This window comes from Homo sapiens, chromosome 3 (assembly GCF_000001405.40).
Source record: "Homo sapiens chromosome 3, GRCh38.p14 Primary Assembly".
NCBI lineage: Eukaryota > Metazoa > Chordata > Mammalia > Primates > Hominidae > Homo > Homo sapiens.
This window is the reverse complement of record NC_000003.12, coordinates 138,122,127-138,143,051: the sequence shown is the minus strand read 5'-3', so window position 1 is coordinate 138,143,051 and position 20,925 is coordinate 138,122,127. Positions and strand designations below refer to the sequence as shown.

The window sequence follows — 20,925 nt, the reverse complement described above, 5'->3', positions numbered from 1 at the left end:
CTGGGATTACAGGCACCCACCATCACACCCAGCTAATTTTTTGTATTTTTAGTAGAGATGGGGTTTCATCATGTTGGCCAGGCTGGTGTCAAACTCCTGACCTCAGGTGATCTACCTGCCTTGGCCTCCCAAAGTGCTGGGATTACAGGCATGAACCACTGCGCCTGGCCATCCATCTATTGTTTTTTGACTTTTTAATTATGGCCATTCTTGCAGGAGTAAGGTGGTATTTCATTGTGGTTTTAATTTGCATTTTTCTGATGATTAGTGATGTTGAACATTTCTTTTTTATTTTCTTTTTTTTTTTTTGAGACAGAGTCTCACTCTGTAGCCCAGGCTGGAGTGCAGTGGCATGATCTTGGCTCACTGCAACCTCCGCCTGCTGGATTCAAGTGATTCTCCTGCCTCAACGTCCCGAGTAGCTGGGAGTACAGGCATGCACCACCACCCCCGGCTAATTTTTGTATTTTTAGTAGAGACAGAGTTTCACCATGTTAGCCAGGCTTGTCTTGAACTCCTGGCCTCAAGTGATCCACCTGCCCCAGCCTCCCAAAGAGCTGGGATTACAGGAATGAGCCACTGCGCCCGGCCAAGCATTTCTTCATATGTTTCTTGGCTGTTTGTATATCTTCTTTTGCGAAATGTGTATTCATGTTCTTTGCCCACTTTTTGATGGGATTATTTTTTTCTTGTTGATTTGTTTGCATTCCTTGTAGATTCTGTATACTACTCCTTTATTGGATACATAGTTTGCAATTTTTTTCTCCCACTCTGTGGGTTGTCTGTTTACTCTGCTGATTTATTTCTTTTGCTCTGCAGAAGCTTTTTAGTTTAATTAGGTCCCATTTATTTATTTCTGTTTTTGTTGCATTTGCTTTTGGGGTCTTAGTCATGAATTCTTTGCCTAAGCCTATGTCTAGAAGGTCTAGAGGAGTTTTTCTGATGTTATCTTCAGAAAAACTCTTCTAGACATTGGCTTGGGCAAAGAATTTTTATGGCTTCAGGTTTTAGATTTAAGTCTTCTACCTTGAGTTGGTTTTTGTATAAGGTGAGAGATGAGGATAGCTTTGTCTTTTCAATGCAGAGTCTATGAGCTCTGCCTGGGTTTCCCCTCCCTGTACTGTGGCCTAGAAATTGTCCTGAGGCAGTAAGCTAGGACAATCACAGGGCTCACCTTTGTTTCCCATCTTTCAGGGATTACTGTCCATTGCCTGATGTTCAGGGTCTTAAAAACCATTATTTTGTATATGTTGTCTATTTTTTGTTTGTTTCACGTGACAGGGTCAACCTGGTCCCTTTGTTTCATCTTTTTGGAAGTGAAATTCCCTGTCTTTTACAATTTTCATTCTATTCCTATCAGTTTCTCTTCAGTGTGGGGCTCCGTATTGGAGAGGAGGCCTGGTTGCTCAATTTTCCAAGTTCACAGAGGTCCAGACTATTCTAGCCCCTTCATATTTTCTTTGGCCTCCTTGCCTTCATGCACTATTATACTGGACAAAACCTCCCCCAGTTTCGGTGCTGTTCCCACATTGCCTTGCCATGCTTTCTGGTGAGTATCTTTTGGATGCTTTGAGTTTCTTCTGCTTTCAGGTCTGATCATCTCTCTCTGCTTTTTTCAGCACAGAGCTGATACCCTGCAATTCTTGGGGCTATTGGTGGTCTGTCCTCATCCACATATATTTTGGGATTTATGGGGATACCTTGTCACCTAGTTTTGTAGTAAATTTTGCCTGTGGTATTCTGGTTTTAAAATATAGTTGCTCTACTCATTTTTATATGGGGATTTGGAGAGATTAAAAAATTATATGGCTGCTGTTATTATTTTCCTAAAACTCTGCTGAGATCTCTTGAGATAAAATTTATGTTTGTACCACATCCTGCACTTATTTTGGGCTATCATTTTCACTAATAGTTTGTGGTTTTTTTGCTTCTAAACAGTTTCAAATTCTTCAAATTCTTTCCTCTCAAAAGCTGTTATTGCTGATACCTGTTTCTTTTTCTTTTAGTCCTTCTCCTCTTCCTCTCCTACTTCTTTTTTCTTCATTTCTTCCAAGAAAATGTTCTATCCAGTCACAGTTTTTTTTTTAACCTGTTCCTTAATCTTCATTCATTTCTATCAATTTATTCTAAGGACAAGCGTCTCACTATTGCTTCTGCCTTTTGCAGCCATTTTGTTATGCTGAGGCAGCTGCTCCAAGGACATGTGGGGAAATCAGAAAAGGATGCAGTCCTTCAATACCTACCATGGATTAAGACTACCAGACAAAGCCAGTGGAATTTTAAAAGTACAGGCAAAGAAGTACAGGTACAGAACAATTAGACCAGTGGAACAGAAGAAAAAACTCAGAGACAGATTCAAATACGTACATATATATGACATGCATATGGAGACTTGCTGTGTGATAGCACTGGCATCACAACCCAACAGAGAAAACATGAAATGTTTTGTAGATAATGTTGTGGAAACAGTTTCTCTATAGGGAGAAAAGGAAAAGCCAATCTCCGTATCTTATCATGTACAAACGTGGACTCCAGATGAATGAATAAACTTAATTTAATCTATAAAATTATACAGAATGGCCGGGTGCAGTGGCTCATGCCTGTAATTCCAGCACTTTGGGAGGCTGAGCCAGGAAGATCACTTGAAATCAGGAGTTTGAGACCAGCTTGGCCAACATAGTGAAACCCTGTCTCTATTAATAAAACAAAAATTAGCTGGGTATGGTGATGTGTGCCTGTAATCCCAGCTACTTGGGAGGCTGAGACAGGAGAATTGCTTGAACCCAGGAGGTAGACATTGCAGTGAGCTGAGATTGTGCCACTGCACTCCAGCCTTGGTGATGGAGTAAGACTCCATTTAAAAAAAAAAATTATACAGGAAAAAGAAAAAATGTAGGAGAATATTTTTGTAATTTAGGAGTGAGGAAGGTCTTTTTCAAAAAGATCTCCAAGACACAAGTTATTCAACAAAATAACTCCTGTATTTATTACATCAAAATAAGAATATCTGTTAAATAGAAAGACAAACCAGGCGACATGTTGGGAGAAAATAGTTGCAATATTTAAAACCAACACTAGACTAATATCTATATTTTATAGGGAAGTTGTAGATTTACAATAAAAAGGAAGAGAATCCAACAGAAAGATGAGCAAATTACATGAAAAGGCAATTTACACAAGAGGAAACCAAAAAGCTAACTTTTTGTGAAGTGATACTTCAACTCATGAATTATCAGAGAAATGCCAATAGAACAACAGTGAGACGTCTCACAGGAACACTGGGGTACTGCTGACAATCTAGCAACTGGTCACTACCCCAAAATTTGCATGATGGGAACATAAATGGAAGGGCTATCATGGCAAAGACAGAGGCCATGTATTGGCCTAACAGCACAGACTCCCACTTACCAGGACCAAACTAACTACTGCTGTCTCTGAATGCCCAACTTGTCAGCAACAGAGATCAACATTAAGTCTCTGATATGGCATTATTTACTGAAGGGACCAAGTGGCTACTTGGTGCCAGATTGGTTGACCACATCACACCCCTTCTATTGTGTATTAATCAAGATTCTCCAGAGAAACAGAACCAATGGGATAGATGTAGATATATAAGAGGAGGTTTATTATGGGAATTGGCTTACCCAGTTATGGAGACCAAAAAGTGCCATGATCTGCCATCTGCATGCTGAAGACCAGGAAAGCTTGTGGTGTAATTCAGTCCAAGTCTGAAGGCCTGAGAACTGTGTGTTTATGGGGCTGTTGGGGCGGCACTGGGGAATGGTTAGGGGAGAGCCTGGAGTAAGTCCTAGAGTCTGAAGGCCCAAAACCAGGAGCTCCAATGTCTGAGAGCAGGAGAAGATGGATGTCCCAGTTCACAAACAGAGAGAGAAAGAGAGAGAGAGAAAGGGAAGTCACCCTTCCTTAGCCTTTTTGTTCTGTTTAGGCTCTTAACAGATTGGATGATGCCCACCCACATTGGTGAGGGTGGATCTTCTTAGTCTACTGATTCAAATGCTAATTTCTTCTGGAATCACCCTCACAGACACACCTGGAAATAATGTTTTACCAGCTATCTGGGCATCCTTTAGCCTAGTCAAGTTGGCACATAAAATTAACCATCACACCTTGAAAGAGCCAATGGTTCATCCCCACAGGAATGAAAATTCCTGATATGAATTTTCCTTTCCTTCCTGTAACACCTCAGCTACAGCACTATCTGAGGGTTATGAAATGCCTGGTACACAGGCATGGAATCTCATATAACATAGAATTTGACCACCATTTTACAGTGAGGAGTGGGCCCATGACCAGGGGATCCACTGGTTGTATCACATATCACACCACCCAGAGGCAACTTTCTGGAATGGCCTTCTAAAAGTGCAACTGAAGTGCTTGCTTGGAGGAAATACTCTGAAAGAGTGGGATGCCATCCTTCAGGACACAACATATTTATGTCTATCCAGAGTTGTGTATTGGGTGCCTTGTTCCCAGTAGGAAGGATACAGGCATTAAGGAGGTGTAAATAGGAGTGGCCCCACTAATCCTCACTCCTAATGATCTACTAGGAGATTTTGTGTTTTTTATTCCTGAAACTCTGAGCTCTTCAGTGTTGGAGGTTCTTGTCCCAAATAGAGAAGATTCTTGCCAGGTGATACTGCAAGAGTCCCCCTGTATTACAAACTACTGCAGGGCATCTTGGACTCCTTGTGCTTTGGCACCAGCAAGTAAAAAATAGTTACACTGGTAGAAGTAATTAACCCTGATTGGCAAGAGGAGGTAAGGCTGCTCTCACACAATAGCAGCAGGGAGGAATAGATATGGTACCTATGAGATCCACTTTGGGCCTCTTGGTACTCCCTTGCCCCACTGTAACTGTGAACAGACATGTGCAGCAACCCTGAACTGAGAAAGTTACGACAATCAAGCATTTAGCACCTCAGGGAGGTGAGTTGCACAACCAGCTGAGCCACCAACCTCTGATGAGGAACCTTCTGAGGATGAAGGGAATTTAGAATGAATATTGAGAAGGGACAAGATGAGTTGCTGCTCGAGATCAACTAGAGTGACAGGGGCTGTAGTTCACATCAGTAACCTCCTTCTTGTTAGTTCCTCCCAGGAAGAAAGGCTTCTGGAACCTATGTGCAGAAGTAAATCTGTGAAGCTCAAGGGGTGCACTGTGGCAGTTGTGAGAATGTGCCTCACAGACCTCCAGCTAGAAAGAGCACAACAGACCAGGGGTCCTGGCTGCTGCTGCTGCACTATAAAATACATCACTGATTTTATGCTGAGGCCACTCCTTCCACAGGCATCCAGTGACTGGATGTGGCAAGAGTATTAAGGTAGACCCACTTTTGGGTGACGCAGAACGACTCTATGACTGACTGTTTTTTTTTTTTTTAGACGAAGTCTCACTCTGCCTCCCAGGCTGGAGTGCAATGGCGTGGTCTCGGCCCACTGCAACCTCCACCTCCTGGGTTCAAGCCATTCTCCTGCCTCAGCCTCCCGAGTAGCTGGGATTACAAGTGCCCACCACCACTCCTGGCTAATTTTTGTATTTTTAGTAGAGACGGGGTTTCACCATGTTAGCCAGGCTGGTCTTGAACTTCTGATCTCAGGTGATCCACCTGTCTCGGCCTCCCAAAGTGCTGGGATTACAGGTGTGAGCCACCGCGCCCAGCCTATATGACTGACTTTGGCTTGAGAACTCCCCAGTGATTATGCTGAACCTTCTTTAGACAAGGACAGCCTTAGACAAGCCAGCCTAGAATGCTTCCCTCAACTTTTCTCCGATCTTCATTGTGGCTTCACAACTGTCCCAGCCATACAAGGCTTTCTTCCTCTTTTTCTGAAATATGCATTTCCCCAATAAAACCTTGCACAGTTAATTTCATCATAGTGTCTGCTTCTCAGAGGACCTGAACTTTATAGCTTAGATGTGAGGGGTAAGAAGAAAGAAGAGTTAAGAATTAGCCTCTGGTTTCTGGCTTGGGCAACTGAGTGCATGGTGATTGTCAGTCACTGAGATAAGGAAGACCAGGGATCTCCATTTAAAGAGAAAAGACATAGCAAGAGGACAGAGTAGGGGTGTGTGGAAGGACAAAAGGAAGGAAAGGCAGAGAGGCCTCAGGTTAGGAGGACAGTTCCACTTGCTACAGGTTTCTGTTGCAGATGAAGTTACTCCTTCCCCACTGAAGCCTGGTCCCAGTTCTGTATATCTTAAGAACAGCTCTAATTTCACTCATGGCTCAAAAACAGATTCTCATAAAAACATGTGTAAGGGGATTGGACAGAAGAAACCTACCCTGGGGTTTCTGTCTTAGCATGGGCTGCTATAACAAAATACCACAGTTTGGGTGGCTTAAACAACAGACATTTATTGTAGCCACTTTCTCTCTATGTTGCTCACGTAGCCTTTCCATGGTGTATATGAAGAGAGAGAGAGAGAGAGAGATCTATCTTCCCCTTCTTCTCAGGGACCTATTCTAAACCTACTTACCTCCAAAGGCCCTGCCTCCAAACACCATCACATTGTGGGTTAGGGCTTCAACATATAGAGGGGCACAAACATTCAATCCATAACAGTTTCTTTCAGCCATATTGGAAAGTGCTCATTCTCAGACACTCAGGCTTTATAAAGTCCTGTGCCATGTGGACACTTAGCATAGATGACCCTAAGCTGATTTCTGTTCCTTACAGGAAAAAGGAACTAAACTCCGGCTTACAGAACTTAGCAAGGTCGCTTCAAATAGCCCCTCGCTCTCAGAAAGGTGCCACTCTTTTCTATAGGCTTCTTGCAGACCCTGTTCTTCAGTCTTTGAAAGTGGTGTCTGGGGCACAACTGGTTTATAGGGAACATTTATTAACTTTTTTCCCCTTATCTCCCTGACCTTATCCCCCACCTACTCTTTTATCTGCAAGTAAATTTAACAAAGAGGGGAAACTACATGTGTGAACACAATAATTTCCAGAACAAACCCGGAAATCAATTATTGATAGCTATGTAAAGTGTTGCAAACAGGGGCATGTTTGACTGCTGTGGCTGAGTGGAGAACAAAGAGCATTATCACCAGATACACAAGGCTAGATTCATTTCCCTGGAAATGCAGAACAGTTTAAAATATTGCTAAGGGACAAAGAGATTTTACTCCGGTGCTAACTCATTGATTTTTAGTGAAAAATACTTTTTAACAATTACTTTTTTCAGGATTTAATGTTGATAATGTCAGTCCTTAATGCATGTCAATTATTTTATTATTCCTCTATGGGTTTCCTAGTGTTATGCTATGGATTGTTCTTAGTCTGCAGTGAAATGCCTCTGTCCAGCCATCTCCTCTCCATTCATGTAAACCCAGCATTCCAGTCTTTGTTCCAACTTCAGAACAGTGGTGAAGGGAATTGGCATTGTTGATAAGATATCACTTTGTGTATTGGTTTTTCCCTGTTAATAACTGAATGCTTTAACAAGTTTATCAGCCCCGCTTGCTTAACAAATATGTTAAAACAGGAACTGTGGTTCCAAAGGCTCCAAAGTAAAGAGGACAAATATTGCTGGGTTGAAAATTTCCTTCTTGCAATAAATCTGAGTTCAAAGAAGCTATAGAATTAAGCATTGTGCTTTTCATGTGAAATTCAATTCGACAAACATTTATTGTTAAAAAAATTATTTTAACTTCCCCTTCTTAATACAGTGGGTCCTGTAGAAGGAGGAAGTTTAGTGCCAAACACTGAACTATTTTCAATTGAGGTTATCAGAGGTCATCCATAGGGCTGAAGAGTTGGGGAAATGTCTCCTCTTCTCCTCCAGTTCTATGGTTTTTCTCCCTGGTCTGCCCTTTTTTTTTTTTTTTTTAACACTAGTTCCAAACATCCAAGTATAATAGAAAAACGCTGAATTCAGAGGTTTTGTCTTATCCTGTTAATTTATTTGGGGCCACATCAATTCACATTTCCTAAGTTCTCATCAGTCAGCAACAATTGCCCAGGCTCCATAGTCTGTTGGATTGACCAAGTCTGGCTTACATTATAATGGAGGAAGCAAGAACTCTTCACACGACTCAGAAATTCCTAGGAAAGTAGACAACACCTGAATGCATATGTGACTGCCATCGCTGTATTCAGACACATCCATTGCTCAAAGACAAGTAGTTCTTTGTACATCTCTACTCAGATATCTACATTGGGGTTCCTAGGGGTTGCTTGGCTAGTTGGAGAAGGCCTGAGATTGTGTAGTGAAGAAATCCAGAAGAATTTTGAGCAGAGTTAGTGTCAAGGAGGGTCAGGGAGCAGGGACATTTCTTAGGGAAGGTGATATGTAGGAAAAGGTATGGACAAGTGACATCCTGGGTTAAGGTACTGATGTAAAATATGGTGCCAGGGTTCAGGGTCTCCTGAAGCCCATCCTTGGAGCTTCTAGGGATCTGTAAAGTCCAGGTTAAGAGCTGCTGCTGTGACACCTGCCTGAACAGACAGAAGTTAGTGTGGTATAGGCCAGGAAAGGCAGAAAGGGGTGCAGAAGGAAGGGAAAGTAGTTCTGTTTCTCAAACCAAAGGGAATGCTGAAGGATGGATGTTGGGGGCCCTGAGAAGTTCCAGGTAGAGTGGCTCAGATGACAGGAGGCCTTCTCAGAAAGACACAGGAAGGACTTTGGGCTATGAACCTACAGAGGCTCCAAGTACCAGTGACCTGGCTTCTGAACGCATCTCATCAACTCTTATACAGGGTTGAAGATTTCCCTCTTAAAAGTTCACTGGGGACCAGGCGCGGTGGCTCATGCCTGTAATCCCAGCACTTTGGGAGGCCAAAGTGGGCGGATCACTTGAGGTCAGGAGTTCGAGACCAGCCTGGCCAATATGGTGAAACCCTGTCTCTACTAAAAATACAAAGATTATCTAGGAATGGTGGCACATGCCTGTAGTCCCAGCTACTTGGGAGGCCAAGGAAGGAGAATCACTTGAACCAGGGAGGCAGAGGTTGCAGTGAGCCAAGATCACACCACAGCACTCCAGCCTGTGCAACAGAGGGAGACTCTGTCTCAAAAAAAAACAAAAAAAAAAAAAACAAGGTTAGAATAGGGAATAGATTTCACTCATCTGAACAAAACAAAACAACTTAATGTTTGTTATCAGGGAGTACAAATACCATCCATATTGATATAATTCTATTTTTCTCTTCTATTTTCCTTGGTAGAAAGTGACAATAACTTCTTTGGTTTAAAGAGAACTTTCATTCTCACAGTGAGCCTGAGGTCGGTCATTTTCTGCACTTTTCAAGGGAGTTGAGGCTCTGGGCAGTTTAGGGGCTTGTCTAGTGCCCTCAGCCTGTGGTGGCTGGAGGCATAACTCCAAGCTCAGTGCTACTTCCATCATGCTTTCTACTTGGTTCTTGGTCAGATAGGTCCTACTTTTGTGCTTGGGATTTCACTGCATTGCTGATGCTCACATTCATCCTCACCTGACAAAGGCCATTAACTACATCACTGATCTCTGCCTTGACCACTTGTTCAATAGTTTTAGCCACTGGGCTAGCAGTTGGGAGGCACTAAGATATGTGACCCACCTGAGGCCCAGGAATGTGTTATCACTCCCACAGATGGGGTCCTCTAGTTACCCCTGGGCAAGGAGCAGGAGCACTAATCTCCACTCCCCTTCATAGGAAAGAACAACCAATCTGTCCAATTACAGAGAACTTTGGAAAGATGCCAAGGCACTCTGAGCCCAGAATTAATGAGGTCCAGAGAAGAAATTCAGCTCCAAAAGGAAGAGGTTTGTGGAGACCTACAAGCTGTTTCTGGGGTCCTTGGACACATAGAAAACCAGAAGCCATCAATGAGTGGGGCAGCTTTAACTCCCTTCATGTAGGACCTGCTATGTTAGAATCTAAAGTCTGCTCAGGAGCAGGCCTACCTGCTCACACTAGAGCATCCAGGGGGAACTGTGAATACCTGCTCATGGCCAAGACAGGTGACTCTCAGCAGAGGATGGCTCCAAAGAAGATTGCTAAGAGCTCATTTCAGGGGCGGTGGAGAATAGGCCACAGGTGAGTGCTAACACCTTGGGAAATGTGGGGACTGCCACATCAGTGGAGGACAACAAAGCTGGCTTCCTGAGACTGGGACGAGGCTTATACCCCATAAGGGGGACCTTGGGGAAAAAGGAGCCTTCCTGCAGCCACTGTGACTGACACTGGGGAATCACTTCTCATTCTAGATCACTGGGCCTTTGGACTGCAGGGCTTTGTTCATTGCTTATTTGTGGTGATGGGCTCTCTTTCCTTTTAATCAAACTTTGTGCTTGCAAAGGGGAGTTTGTACCACCTTACAGGGTCTCTGTCCATAATTTTGATTCAAGCTAAACTGATCAAGTGCAGGATATGTTGGCTCCAAGGTTATGCCAGGATACAGTTTTCTCCAGGTGAAATAATCCCTTTATAACCCCCATAATAGATCCACAAACAGGCAGGATTAGTGTGTGGGTCACCTTAAAAATCTGGTAAACCCCTCTTGTTCCCAAGTGGCTGTGTTTGGGAGAACTTAGTAAAGGGAGGAGCTTCCTGGGAACTTTTTGTGTTTAGTCTCAATCTGCCAATGATTTACTTACCCCTGTGTTGTTGAGTTGGAAGATTGGGTGGTGATTTATCAGAAAGTGTAGCAGGAAGAACTTGTCATTTCTAAGACCTCAAATACTGGTTAACTGCATTTGCAGCTAGAAGTTAGGCTCTGATTCACTGTTTTGTATTTTCTAAAAGGGTTATATGTAATTTGAAAGATAGACCTGCCAAGACGTGAGATCTGTGTTCTCCTTGGTTAGAGCTAACATTTTTGGTGAGGAAAGCACTGCAGGTAACGGTTCAGAGCCTGGACTTTGGTGGCAGGTGGATGCAAGTTACAGTCACAGCTCTGCTACTTGCTAATCGTGTGATCTTGGCAATTTATTTAACTCTTTAGCCTTCAGTTTGCTTCCTTTGTTAATTTTTTTTCTTAGTTCTATTAGTTTTTCAGTTATGTTTTCTGAACCTAGAGATACTTTTGCCTCTTTTAATATTCGTAGTAGAAATTCATTTCTCTTGTTTTATTGCATTGGTTACAATTATCAGATTGTAACCAATGATGTCAGTGACAATGACAATGGACATTCATATCATATTCCTGATCTTAATGGGATGTTTCAAATGTTTCATATTAAGTATGATAATTGCTATATGTTCTGGTAGACATTGTTTAAAATCAGCTTAAGAAAGTTTCCTTGTACTTTAAAAAAATTGTGAATGGATCTTAAAGTTAGTCACATTCTTGGCATCTCTTGAGCCAAAATGATCATATGGCTTTTCTTCTTTAGACTGTTAAGATAATGCATTTTATCAATAGTTTTCCCTATTAACTAATTATTTTTAATGTCAAATCATTTTAAAATCTAAGATAAATCCTGATTGGTTATGATGCATTTTTCTTTCTCACATATTTCTTGTCTTTTTCTTTTTCTTTTTTTTTAAATTTTTGTGATGATTTTCACTATGCTGCCCAAGCTAGTCTTGAACTCTTGGACTCAGGGGATCCTCCTGCCTCAGCCTCCCTAGTAGTTGGGACTACAGGCATATGCCACCATGCCTGGCTGCATTTTTTTTTTAATATTGCTGGACTTGATTTCATCATATTTTATTTAGGATATTTAAAATTTAAGTTTTTAAATGATATTCATGTATCATTTTCTTGTGTGCTATCTTTGTCAGGTTTTGCAGCTGTGATTTTTAATTAATTGTGTTGATTTAAAGGAGCAGGCTGGCACAGAGAAGAGGACATGCGGAAGGAGCTCCAGCTCTCCCTGTCAGTCACCTTGCTGCTTGTCTGTGGCTTCCTCTACCAGTTCACCCTGAAGTCCAGCTGCCTCTTCTGTTTGCCTTCTTTCAAGTCCCACCAGGGGCTGGAAGCCCTCCTGAGCCACAGACGTGGCATTGTGTTTCTAGAGACCTCAGAGAGAATGGAGCCACCCCATTTGGTCTCCTGTTCCGTAGAGTCTGCTGCCAAGATTTATCCTGAGTGGCCTGTGGTGTTCTTTATGAAGGGTCTTACTGATTCCACACCGATGCCCTCAAACTCCACATACCCAGCTTTTTCCTTCCTGTCAGCAATAGACAACGTTTTCCTCTTCCCTTTGGATATGAAAAGGCTGCTTGAAGACACACCATTGTTTTCATGGTACAATCAAGTAAGTGTTTAGGGAAACTTAAAATGTCAACGAATTGTATATATGGGTAAACTGAGGGTAAGGACTCAGGTCGGAGATGGGAATAGAACCCACATTTGGGTTGACTCTCATTTGGCCCTCTTTTTACCATGTTGAGAACTGATTCAAATAAAGAGGGAAGACTTACATTAGGTGCATCTTTATTCTGCTGTCTTTTGCTTCTAGCCTTATTTCTTTTAGGATCTTGGTTACTTTGGAGACTATTCTTAACTGAATGAGTTTTTATATCTTTTCTAGGTGTATAGGACACTTATTTTTCACTACAGTTTTAAATCCACTTATGTTAAACTTTATTTTTTTTTTCACCTAAAGTGGAAACCAGGCAATATTTAACATGAAAATGATGTAAGTAGAAAATTCATGAAGGATGGATGAAATGCTGCGATATGAGATTGGGTTGTATTAAGATATGATTGAGAAACTCCTGGAGCTTAGAGGAATTTTGTAATCCCCAAGTTTGTAGTGAACCAGAATAAGGGAATAATGTGCCAGTCTAATATTTCTCTTATAGAGGAGCTGAAATCAGGTTGCTTAAAGAAATTATAGTACAACAACTCAATGATTCCATTATGCAGGCTTTAACTATAATTTTTTAAAACTGACATCCTATGAAGACTATAACACAATATGGAATTAAAACCACCTTATGTCATAATGTAATTATAATAGTTATAACGATTTAAGTTATGCAAAAACCCACACACATCTATTGAAAAAAAAAAAGACCTGAAAGAACTCTACAACACACAATAATAGTAGGTGTTTTCGTATAATTGGATTAGGAGTGAATTTAGTGATGAGAATGTGTTGATTTTATAAATAACATTATTTTAGAAAACAAAAAGTAATCTAAACATTGACATAAAAATAATACTATTCACACTGGGTGTGCTGGCATGCACCTGTAGTCTCAGCTACTCCAGAGACCAAGGCAGGAGGATCGCTGGAGCCCAGGAGTTCAAAGGCCAGCCTGGGCAACATAGCGAGACTCTGTCTCAAACAAACACACAAGCAAAAATAATACTATTTGCTTGCCACATAAAGTTCTGTCTAAATTCTAATCATAGGCTGTAGCAAATATTACCAAACTTTTTTTTCTGTGTAGGGCCAGATAGTAAATATTTTCGGCCTTGTGGGCTAAGGTGGTAAAATTGAGGATATTATGAAGGTACTTGTGGTAGTTTCTTCCGTCTGTTGTAACAAATTACCACCAACCTGGTGGCATAAAACAACAGAAATTCATTCTCTCACAGTTCTGGAGGCCAGAAGTCCCAGATTATTTTCACTGGGCCAATATCAAACTGCTGGCAGGGCTGCATTTCCTCCTGAGTTCCTAGGGAAGGATGATCCCTTGCCTCTGACAAGCTTCTGTGGCTGCTGGCATTCCTTGGCCAATAGCCCCTCACTCCAGTCTCTGTCTCCATCTTCAAATCTCTTTTCCTCTGTTTGTGTAAAATCTCCCTCTGTCTATCCATTTAAATGACACTTGTGATTGCATTTAGGGCCCATCCAGGATACTCTCCCCATCTTAAGGTTCCTAATGACCACCTGCAAAGATACTTTTCCCATATAAGGTAACATTAACAGGTTCCAGGAATTAGGACCTGAGGTCTTTGGGTAGCCATTATTTAGCCTACTCCCTGACCCACCTCATTTGCCTGGGAACTGGGTGGACTGTCCTGGGTGGAGGGCATGCTTGTACCTAGTTGCTGTCAGCTGGAGACATTTTTTGGACTAAGTGACAGACATGATGGGGAGGGATCTGGTGGGCCAGAAAGGTAGGGGCTGGGGCTGGGAATGGCTCCTGGGGTCAGTTTATTCTTGGCCCCAGTGACTTCTACATCCCAAAGTGCATATCTCTCCTTCTGAAGAAACTTGAAGTCCTCAAATTGGGACCCATCAGGAGGAGGTGGGGCAGTTCATGGATTGAGTTTTCACTGTGTTGGCAGCTGCCAACAGCAGAGTTCCCAACAAGCAGGTGGCACTGCCCTGCACAGTGGCAGGGCGGGCAGAGGGGTAGGGAGGCAGTTTCTGGGAGTGGAGGGGACACCCCAGCTTGGTCTTTGTGGCTCTCAGTGCTAACTTGCTAGAGGGTGCTCTGGGACTCTACAAGTTTCCTGATGCCTGGGCTAGACTAACGCTACCTGATATAGTTTGAATATATATCCTCACCAAATCTCATGTGGAATTGTAATTCCATTGTTGGAGGTGGGGCCTGGTAGGAGGTAATTGGGTCATGGGGGTGGATCACTCACGACTTGGTGCTGTCCTCAGGATAGTGAGTGGGTTCTCGTGAGATCTGGTTGTTTAAAAGTGTGTGGCACCTACCCCCCCACCCCCACTCTCTCTCTTGCTCCTGCTCTCGCCATGTGATGCGCCTACTCCTGCTTCACCTTCAGCTGTGAGTAAAAGCTCCCTGAGGCCTCCTCAGAAGCCAAGCAAATGCTGTTGCTTTGCTTGCTGTAAAGCCTGCAGAACCGTGAGCCAATCAAACCTCTTTTCTTTATAAATTACCCAGTCTCAGATATTTCCTTATAGGAATGCAAGAACAGCCTAACACACTGCCTAAATTGTATTTTGCTCCTTGAAAAAAATCTGTAATTAAATTATTTTGGGAGAAGCTGCATACCACATCCTTTTCTTACAGATGAATCACACACATGAGGATATTAAAGCCTCTTTATCTTTCTGAACTGAAGAAATCTAACTGGATTCAACCCATCACTTCCTAAACTTATTTGAGCATGGAACCCTCTTTCAGTGTGACAAATAATCTCTTGGCACTGATGTTCCATGGAACACAGTTTAGATTGCTCTGAGCTGCACCTTAATTTTACTATGTTGGATTTTAGGAGCAAGATGGGCTCTGAGCTAGAGAGCTCCTAAGTGTTTGCTCCATCTGAGCCTGCAGAATACTACAGTAGGCTGTACATCTATAGGGATCATACCACAATACCCTAGGGATACTGAGCTGTGGCATGTGCTTCCCCAGTTAGGCCACCACAGGATAGCTGGGAACCACCTGTTAGGAAAGATCTAAGGTGCCATCACTTCCTTGTGACCACTGGGTTTTCTGCACTGATCTGGGCTATTGTAGCCCTTGATGATGCCCAGGAATGAGAATTATGGGCATAGGGTGGGGATGGGCAACTGTTCTCTGAGCAGCTAGAACCTTAAACCTCTTTCCGCTGGTCATCCTTATTGGAGCGCTTATGTTTTTTGTTTTTTTTTTTTTTGAGACGGAGTCTTGCTCTGTCGCACAGGCTGGAGTGCAGTGGCGTGATCTCGGCTCACTACAACCTCCGCTTCCCGGGTTCAAGCGATTCTCCTGCCTCAGCCTCCCAAGTAGCTGGGACTACAAGCACGCACCACCATGCCCAGCTAATTTTTGTATTTTTAGTAGAGATGGGGTTTCACCATGTTGGCCAGGATGGTCTCGATCTTTTGACCTCGTGATCCGCCCACCTCGGTCTCCCAAAGTGCTGGGATTATAGGTGTAAGCCACTGTGCCCCGCCCCTGGTCATAATTTTTAACTTAAAAAATAGGAATGATCATAGTACCTATTTTTGAGGACTCGCGTAGATTAAAAAGAGCTTAGAACAATTATTGATAAATGTTAGCTATTATTATTAGGTTTTTGGCAATTGTATACAATGTCACAATTATTGTTTTTTTTTTTTTTTTTTTTTTGAGATGGAGTCTTGCTCTCTCGCCAGTGGTGCAATCTCAGCTCACTGCATCCTCCGCCTCCCAGGTTCAAGTGATTCTCCTGCCTCAGCCTCCAGAGTAGCTGGGATTACAGGTGCCCACCACCATGCCTGGCTATTTTTTTTGGATTTTTAGTAGAGATAGGGTTTCACTATGTTGGCCAGGCTGGTCTCCAACTCCTGACCTCGTGATCTGCCCACCTTGGCCTCCCAAAGTGCTGGGATTACAGGCATGAGCCACCCACGCCCGGCTTATTTTTATTTTTATTTTTTTTGAGATGGAGTTTCACTCTCGTGGCCCAGGCTGGAGTGCAATGGTACAATCTTTCCTCACTGCAACCTCCGCCTCCCAGGTTCAAATGATTCTCCTGTCTCAGCCTCCCTAGTAGCTGGGATTACAGGCGCCTGTCACCACGCCTGGCTAATTTTTGTATTTGTAGTGGAGACGGGGCTTCATCACGTTGGTCAGGCTGGTCTCGAACTCCTGACTTCAGATAATCCACCCACTTCAGCCTCCCAAAGTGCTGGGATTACAGGTGTGAGCCACCATGCCCAGCACAATGTGACAATTTTTAACAACTTGTGAAGATTTCTGCAAGTTTTAGTTGACCTGCTTTCATTTGACTCGATAGCAGAATTTTAAAGACTGTTTATTTTGTCAAAAGCCAGGGGTGGTTGTTTAACCTTTTAACCAATGTATTTAAAATTAAAAAACAAACAAACAAAACATTTTGCTTTCTATTTCTCTTCAGAATCTTAGCATTCCATATGAGAACATTGACATTTATGCTGATTTATTTTTATTCTTTTTAAAGTCATTTTCTGTTTTACCCACATTTTAGCCTTTGCAGTCATCTGTGACTCTTCTCTCTCCCACCCACACCCAGCCCATTAGCAAATCCTGACCAGCTTCATCTTCATTATGTGCCCTTCCCTCACCCCCACTGTTAGCACCATCATCTCATGTCTGGATTATGTCAACCGACTCCCAACTTGCGTTTGCTTCTGCCCTTGCCATCTACCAACCCTACCCCAGACTGATTTCCACACAGCAGCCAGAGTGACCCTTTGAAGAGTAATTGAGATCACTTCCCTCCTTTCTTCTAAACCTTTCAAATAACTTCAGTCTTGGCCCCAGCCTACATGATCCGGCCTCCCTCCCCACCCCTCTCCAATTCTGATCTCATTGCCTACCCCACTCCCTTCTCAGCTCTGCTTCAGCTCACTGCCTCCTCCTTGTTCCCAGACATGGCATGTGTGCTTTTGCCTCAGGGCCCTTGTATTCACTGGGATACAGACCTGAGCTTCAGTGACTTTTATGCCCTGCATTTGTGGAACTATATGAACCAGGAAGGGAGGTCTGTGGTTAGAGGAAGCAACACACTGGTGGACAATCTCTACTGCAAGAGAAGAGAGTTCTAGGAGTTCCCTCCTCCTGGAACTCTCTTTTCTCAGCTATGGGCATGGTTCATCCACCCACTTCATTCCAGTTTCTGGGGGAACTAACGTAATACAGCGCTCCACCCTGGCCCCTTCACAGTCCCTTCACCCAGCTTTTTTTCTTCATAGTTGTTGTCAGCATCCAACACAGAAGGTTTATTTATTATCTGTCTCCTCCCAGTAGGGATTTCTGTTTGTTTGTTCACTGCTGTATCCTTAGCAGTTTTAATAGAATTCGGCACATAGTAAATAGGCCCTCAATAAATTAATTCCTTTAATAATAAAGGAATTAATACATGAGCAAAGGTATGCATTTTAAGATTTTTTTATCAATTTTTCAAATAGCAGACATACTGATTTTTTTCATTGTCAGTTGTTAGCATTTTAAGGGCTTTATTTGGTTCTTCCTCTACAGTTACATATTTGTAGTTTATGTACACCCACGTTGAAGAATGACTCATACAGTGCATAGTGAAATCTTTTCTGGATTTCTTCTTTATCTTTCCAATGCTTTAATGTTTTTTTAAAAAAACCATTTCATGAAATCTTTAAAAGCTGCTAAAACTTTCCCATTGATACTGATTGCTGCAAACTTTTTACTTAAATGAAAAATTTTAGAGTGAGGTAAGTTTGGTAAACTTGCAAAATCGGGCTGTGGCAAATAGGATTTTGGGAAGCTGGCTTCTTTAACCCCTCCCCAGCCTCTCTGGGCCTGGCCTCCTGCTGTGATGCCCCTCCCTCTTCCCCTGGCTACTTGGGGCTGATTTGCACCTGCTCCTGCAGATCAACGCCAGCGCAGAGAGAAACTGGCTCCACATCAGCTCGGATGCATCCCGCCTGGCCATCATCTGGAAATACGGTGGCATCTACATGGACACCGATGTCATCTCCATCAGGCCCATCCCTGAGGAGAACTTTTTGGCTGCGCAGGCTTCTCGGTACTCTAGTAATGGAATATTTGGGTTCCTCCCCCACCACCCCTTTTTGTGGGAATGCATGGAAAACTTTGTTGAACACTATAATTCAGCCATTTGGGGCAACCAAGGCCCTGAGTTGATGACAAGGATGTTGAGGGTATGGTGTAAACTTGAAGACTTCCAGGAGGTGAGCGACCTCAGGTGTCTGAACATATCCTTCTTACACCCCCAAAGATTTTACCCCATCTCCTATCGAGAGTGGAGGCGCTACTATGAAGTGTGGGATACAGAGCCAAGCTTCAATGTCTCTTATGCCCTGCATTTGTGGAACCACATGAACCAGGAGGGGCGGGCTGTGATTAGAGGAAGCAACACACTGGTGGAAAATCTCTATCGCAAGCACTGTCCCAGGACTTACAGGGACCTGATTAAAGGCCCAGAGGGGTCAGTGACTGGGGAGCTGGGTCCAGGTAACAAATAAAGCTAACACTCGTTTGCTGCTGCTGCAGTGTGGAAATGGACATTTCCTGGAGTGCCACATTTTCACTTGATCTCCACTGTCTCTTGGCGGGGTGGGCAGAGGGTTGCCTCTCAAATGTCAGTTAGGATTAGCTTTCTCTGTCTGTAATAGAAAAATCCCAAATGATACTGGCTATAAAACATACACCCATGGTCCATTTGACTGCTTGACCTCCAACCCACCATGTTTGCATTTCAGGCAGTAGGATGAAGAAAAGAGGAAAGGTGCACTTGCTTTATTTTGTGAAGACTTCCTGCAAGTACCGTATAACACTTTCTCTTACATTGCACTGACTGAGATGTAGCTGCAAGAGAGGCTGGGAAGTTTAAGGAGGAAGAAAAAATGGGTACTGGGATAGGCAGCTAACAGTTTTGCTACATGTTCTATTTAATACAGTAAGATTAATTCCAGGACCTGTTAGAGCATTGACTGAGGTAAAAAGAGACTTGATTTCTAGTCCTGATTTTGACATTCATTAATGCATTCAGTCAATAAATATTAACTGAGCCTGGTCTATGTGCCAAACATTGATTTAGATGCTGCAGATACAGCTGGATCAAGCAGATGAGATCCTCAGCACTTATATCCTAATCCCTGGCCTCATGATCCTGGGACAGTCTCCTCCCCTCCCCAGGGTGTCTGCTGTTCTCTACCCTACCTCTTTCCAATATACACATTAACCCTGTCATAATTGGCCCACAGAAGCAACTTACCAACTCAGACTATTTAAAACTGCTGCCCTTTTTAGATTCACATAAAAATTTACCTCCTGCATTTCAAAATGTCATGTTCAAAGCACCATAAATATATACAATTTTTATTTGTCAATTACAAATAAATAAATAAATAATTTATTATTTCTTTTCAGGAGGTATGAAAATTAATATTTCTTCAGCAAACACTTAGCCAAGATTTTCTAGAACTTTCCTTTTGATAGTTTGCTTTATGGGAAAAAGTTTATATTTGCCCCCAAACGTAAAATTATGACACCCTTTCAAACTATATCCATCTATCCCTCTTTTATTCTAATATTTCCCCCTTTAGGAATCACTGCTGGCCAGGCACAGTGGTTCACACCTGTAATCCTGGCACTTTGGGAGGCTGAGGCAGGTGGATTGCTTGAGCCCAGGAGTTCAAGACCAGCCTGGGCAAGATGGTGAGACCCTGTCTCTACAGAAAATACAAGAATTAGCTGGGTGTGGTGATGCATGCCTGTAGTCCAAGCTAGCTGGGAGACTGAGTTAGGAGGATCACCTGAACATGGGAGGTTGAGGGTACAGTGAGCCAAGATCGTGCCACTGCACTCAGTCTGGGTGACAAAGCCAGATAAAAAAAAAAAAATCACTGCTTTGACAATCTTGTTAAAAAATATTTACAAGTCAAGTCTCATGTCCCAGCTTTATTTATTCACAGCTACTTGCTTTGGACTTGTAGATGTCTGATACCATCGTCAGGCTCTGAGGCCTGCTGCCATACCCCATGGCTGTCTTTTGGGTTGTGTCCTAGGAACCACTGCTGGTTTTCAGCTCTCCTGACTGTCTCCACAGATGAGGATTTCTAGGGCTAGCTGTCTTAGAGACAAGCAGGGACACATACATTGTCTCTCCCTTCTATTTTTGGAGAATGCATGACAAATGGTTCTTCAACTATTCCTGACCAACAGGGTTTTGAGGGGTTTGATTAGAAATATTTTCGATATTTCAAAAATATGTGAATTGGCCACGCACATTGGCTCACGCCTATAACGCCAGCACTTTGGGAGGCCATGGTGGGAGAACTGCTTGAGCCCAGGAGTTAGAGATCAGACTGGGCAACACAGCAAGACCCTGTCCCTACAAAAAACAAATAGCCAGGCAAGGTGGCTCACCTGTAGTCCTAGCTACTTGGGAGGCTAAGGAAGGAGGATCACTTGAGCCCATGGGTTCTAGGTTATGGTGAACTATGATCACACCACTGTGCTCCAACCTGGGCAAGACAGTGAGACCATATCTTAAATAAATAAATAAGTAAATAAATGTACACACACACACACACACGCACACACACATACACAAATTCATTTTGACATTAATGATAATTTGATGTTTATAGGGAGCTT

General features: G+C 42.9%; 1 protein-coding gene across 3 annotated transcripts; it reads left to right on the top strand.

Annotated features, from left to right (window-relative positions):
• Nucleotides 1-9,749: 9,749 nt before the first annotated feature.
• On the top strand, nucleotides 9,750-19,339 carry A4GNT (alpha-1,4-N-acetylglucosaminyltransferase). Of its 3 annotated transcripts, none has more exons than XM_017006544.2 (3): nucleotides 9,750-10,038; nucleotides 11,770-12,203; nucleotides 18,174-19,339. In XM_017006544.2, the coding sequence occupies exons 2-3, from the start codon at nucleotides 11,796-11,798 to the stop codon at nucleotides 18,786-18,788; spliced, it is 1,023 nt and encodes a 340-aa protein (XP_016862033.1). In that variant the 5' UTR covers nucleotides 9,750-10,038; nucleotides 11,770-11,795; the 3' UTR covers nucleotides 18,789-19,339. The 3 variants fall into 3 exon arrangements, with proteins under 3 accessions (XP_016862033.1, XP_016862032.1, NP_057245.1); XM_017006543.3 differs by lacking the exon at nucleotides 9,750-10,038 and adding an exon at nucleotides 10,662-10,822; NM_016161.3 differs by lacking the exon at nucleotides 9,750-10,038 and adding an exon at nucleotides 10,662-10,840.
• Nucleotides 19,340-20,925: the final 1,586 nt, after the last annotated feature.

Excerpts from the sequence above, each read along its gene's own strand:
- A4GNT (XM_017006544.2), top strand. The coding sequence starts at position 11,796 with ATGCGGAAGGAGCTCCAGCTCTCCCTGTCAGTCACCTTGCTGCTTGTC. Across the intron at positions 12,204-18,173 it reads TGTTTTCATGGTACAATCAA|ATCAACGCCAGCGCAGAGAG; the intron begins GTAAGTGTTTAG and ends CTGCTCCTGCAG.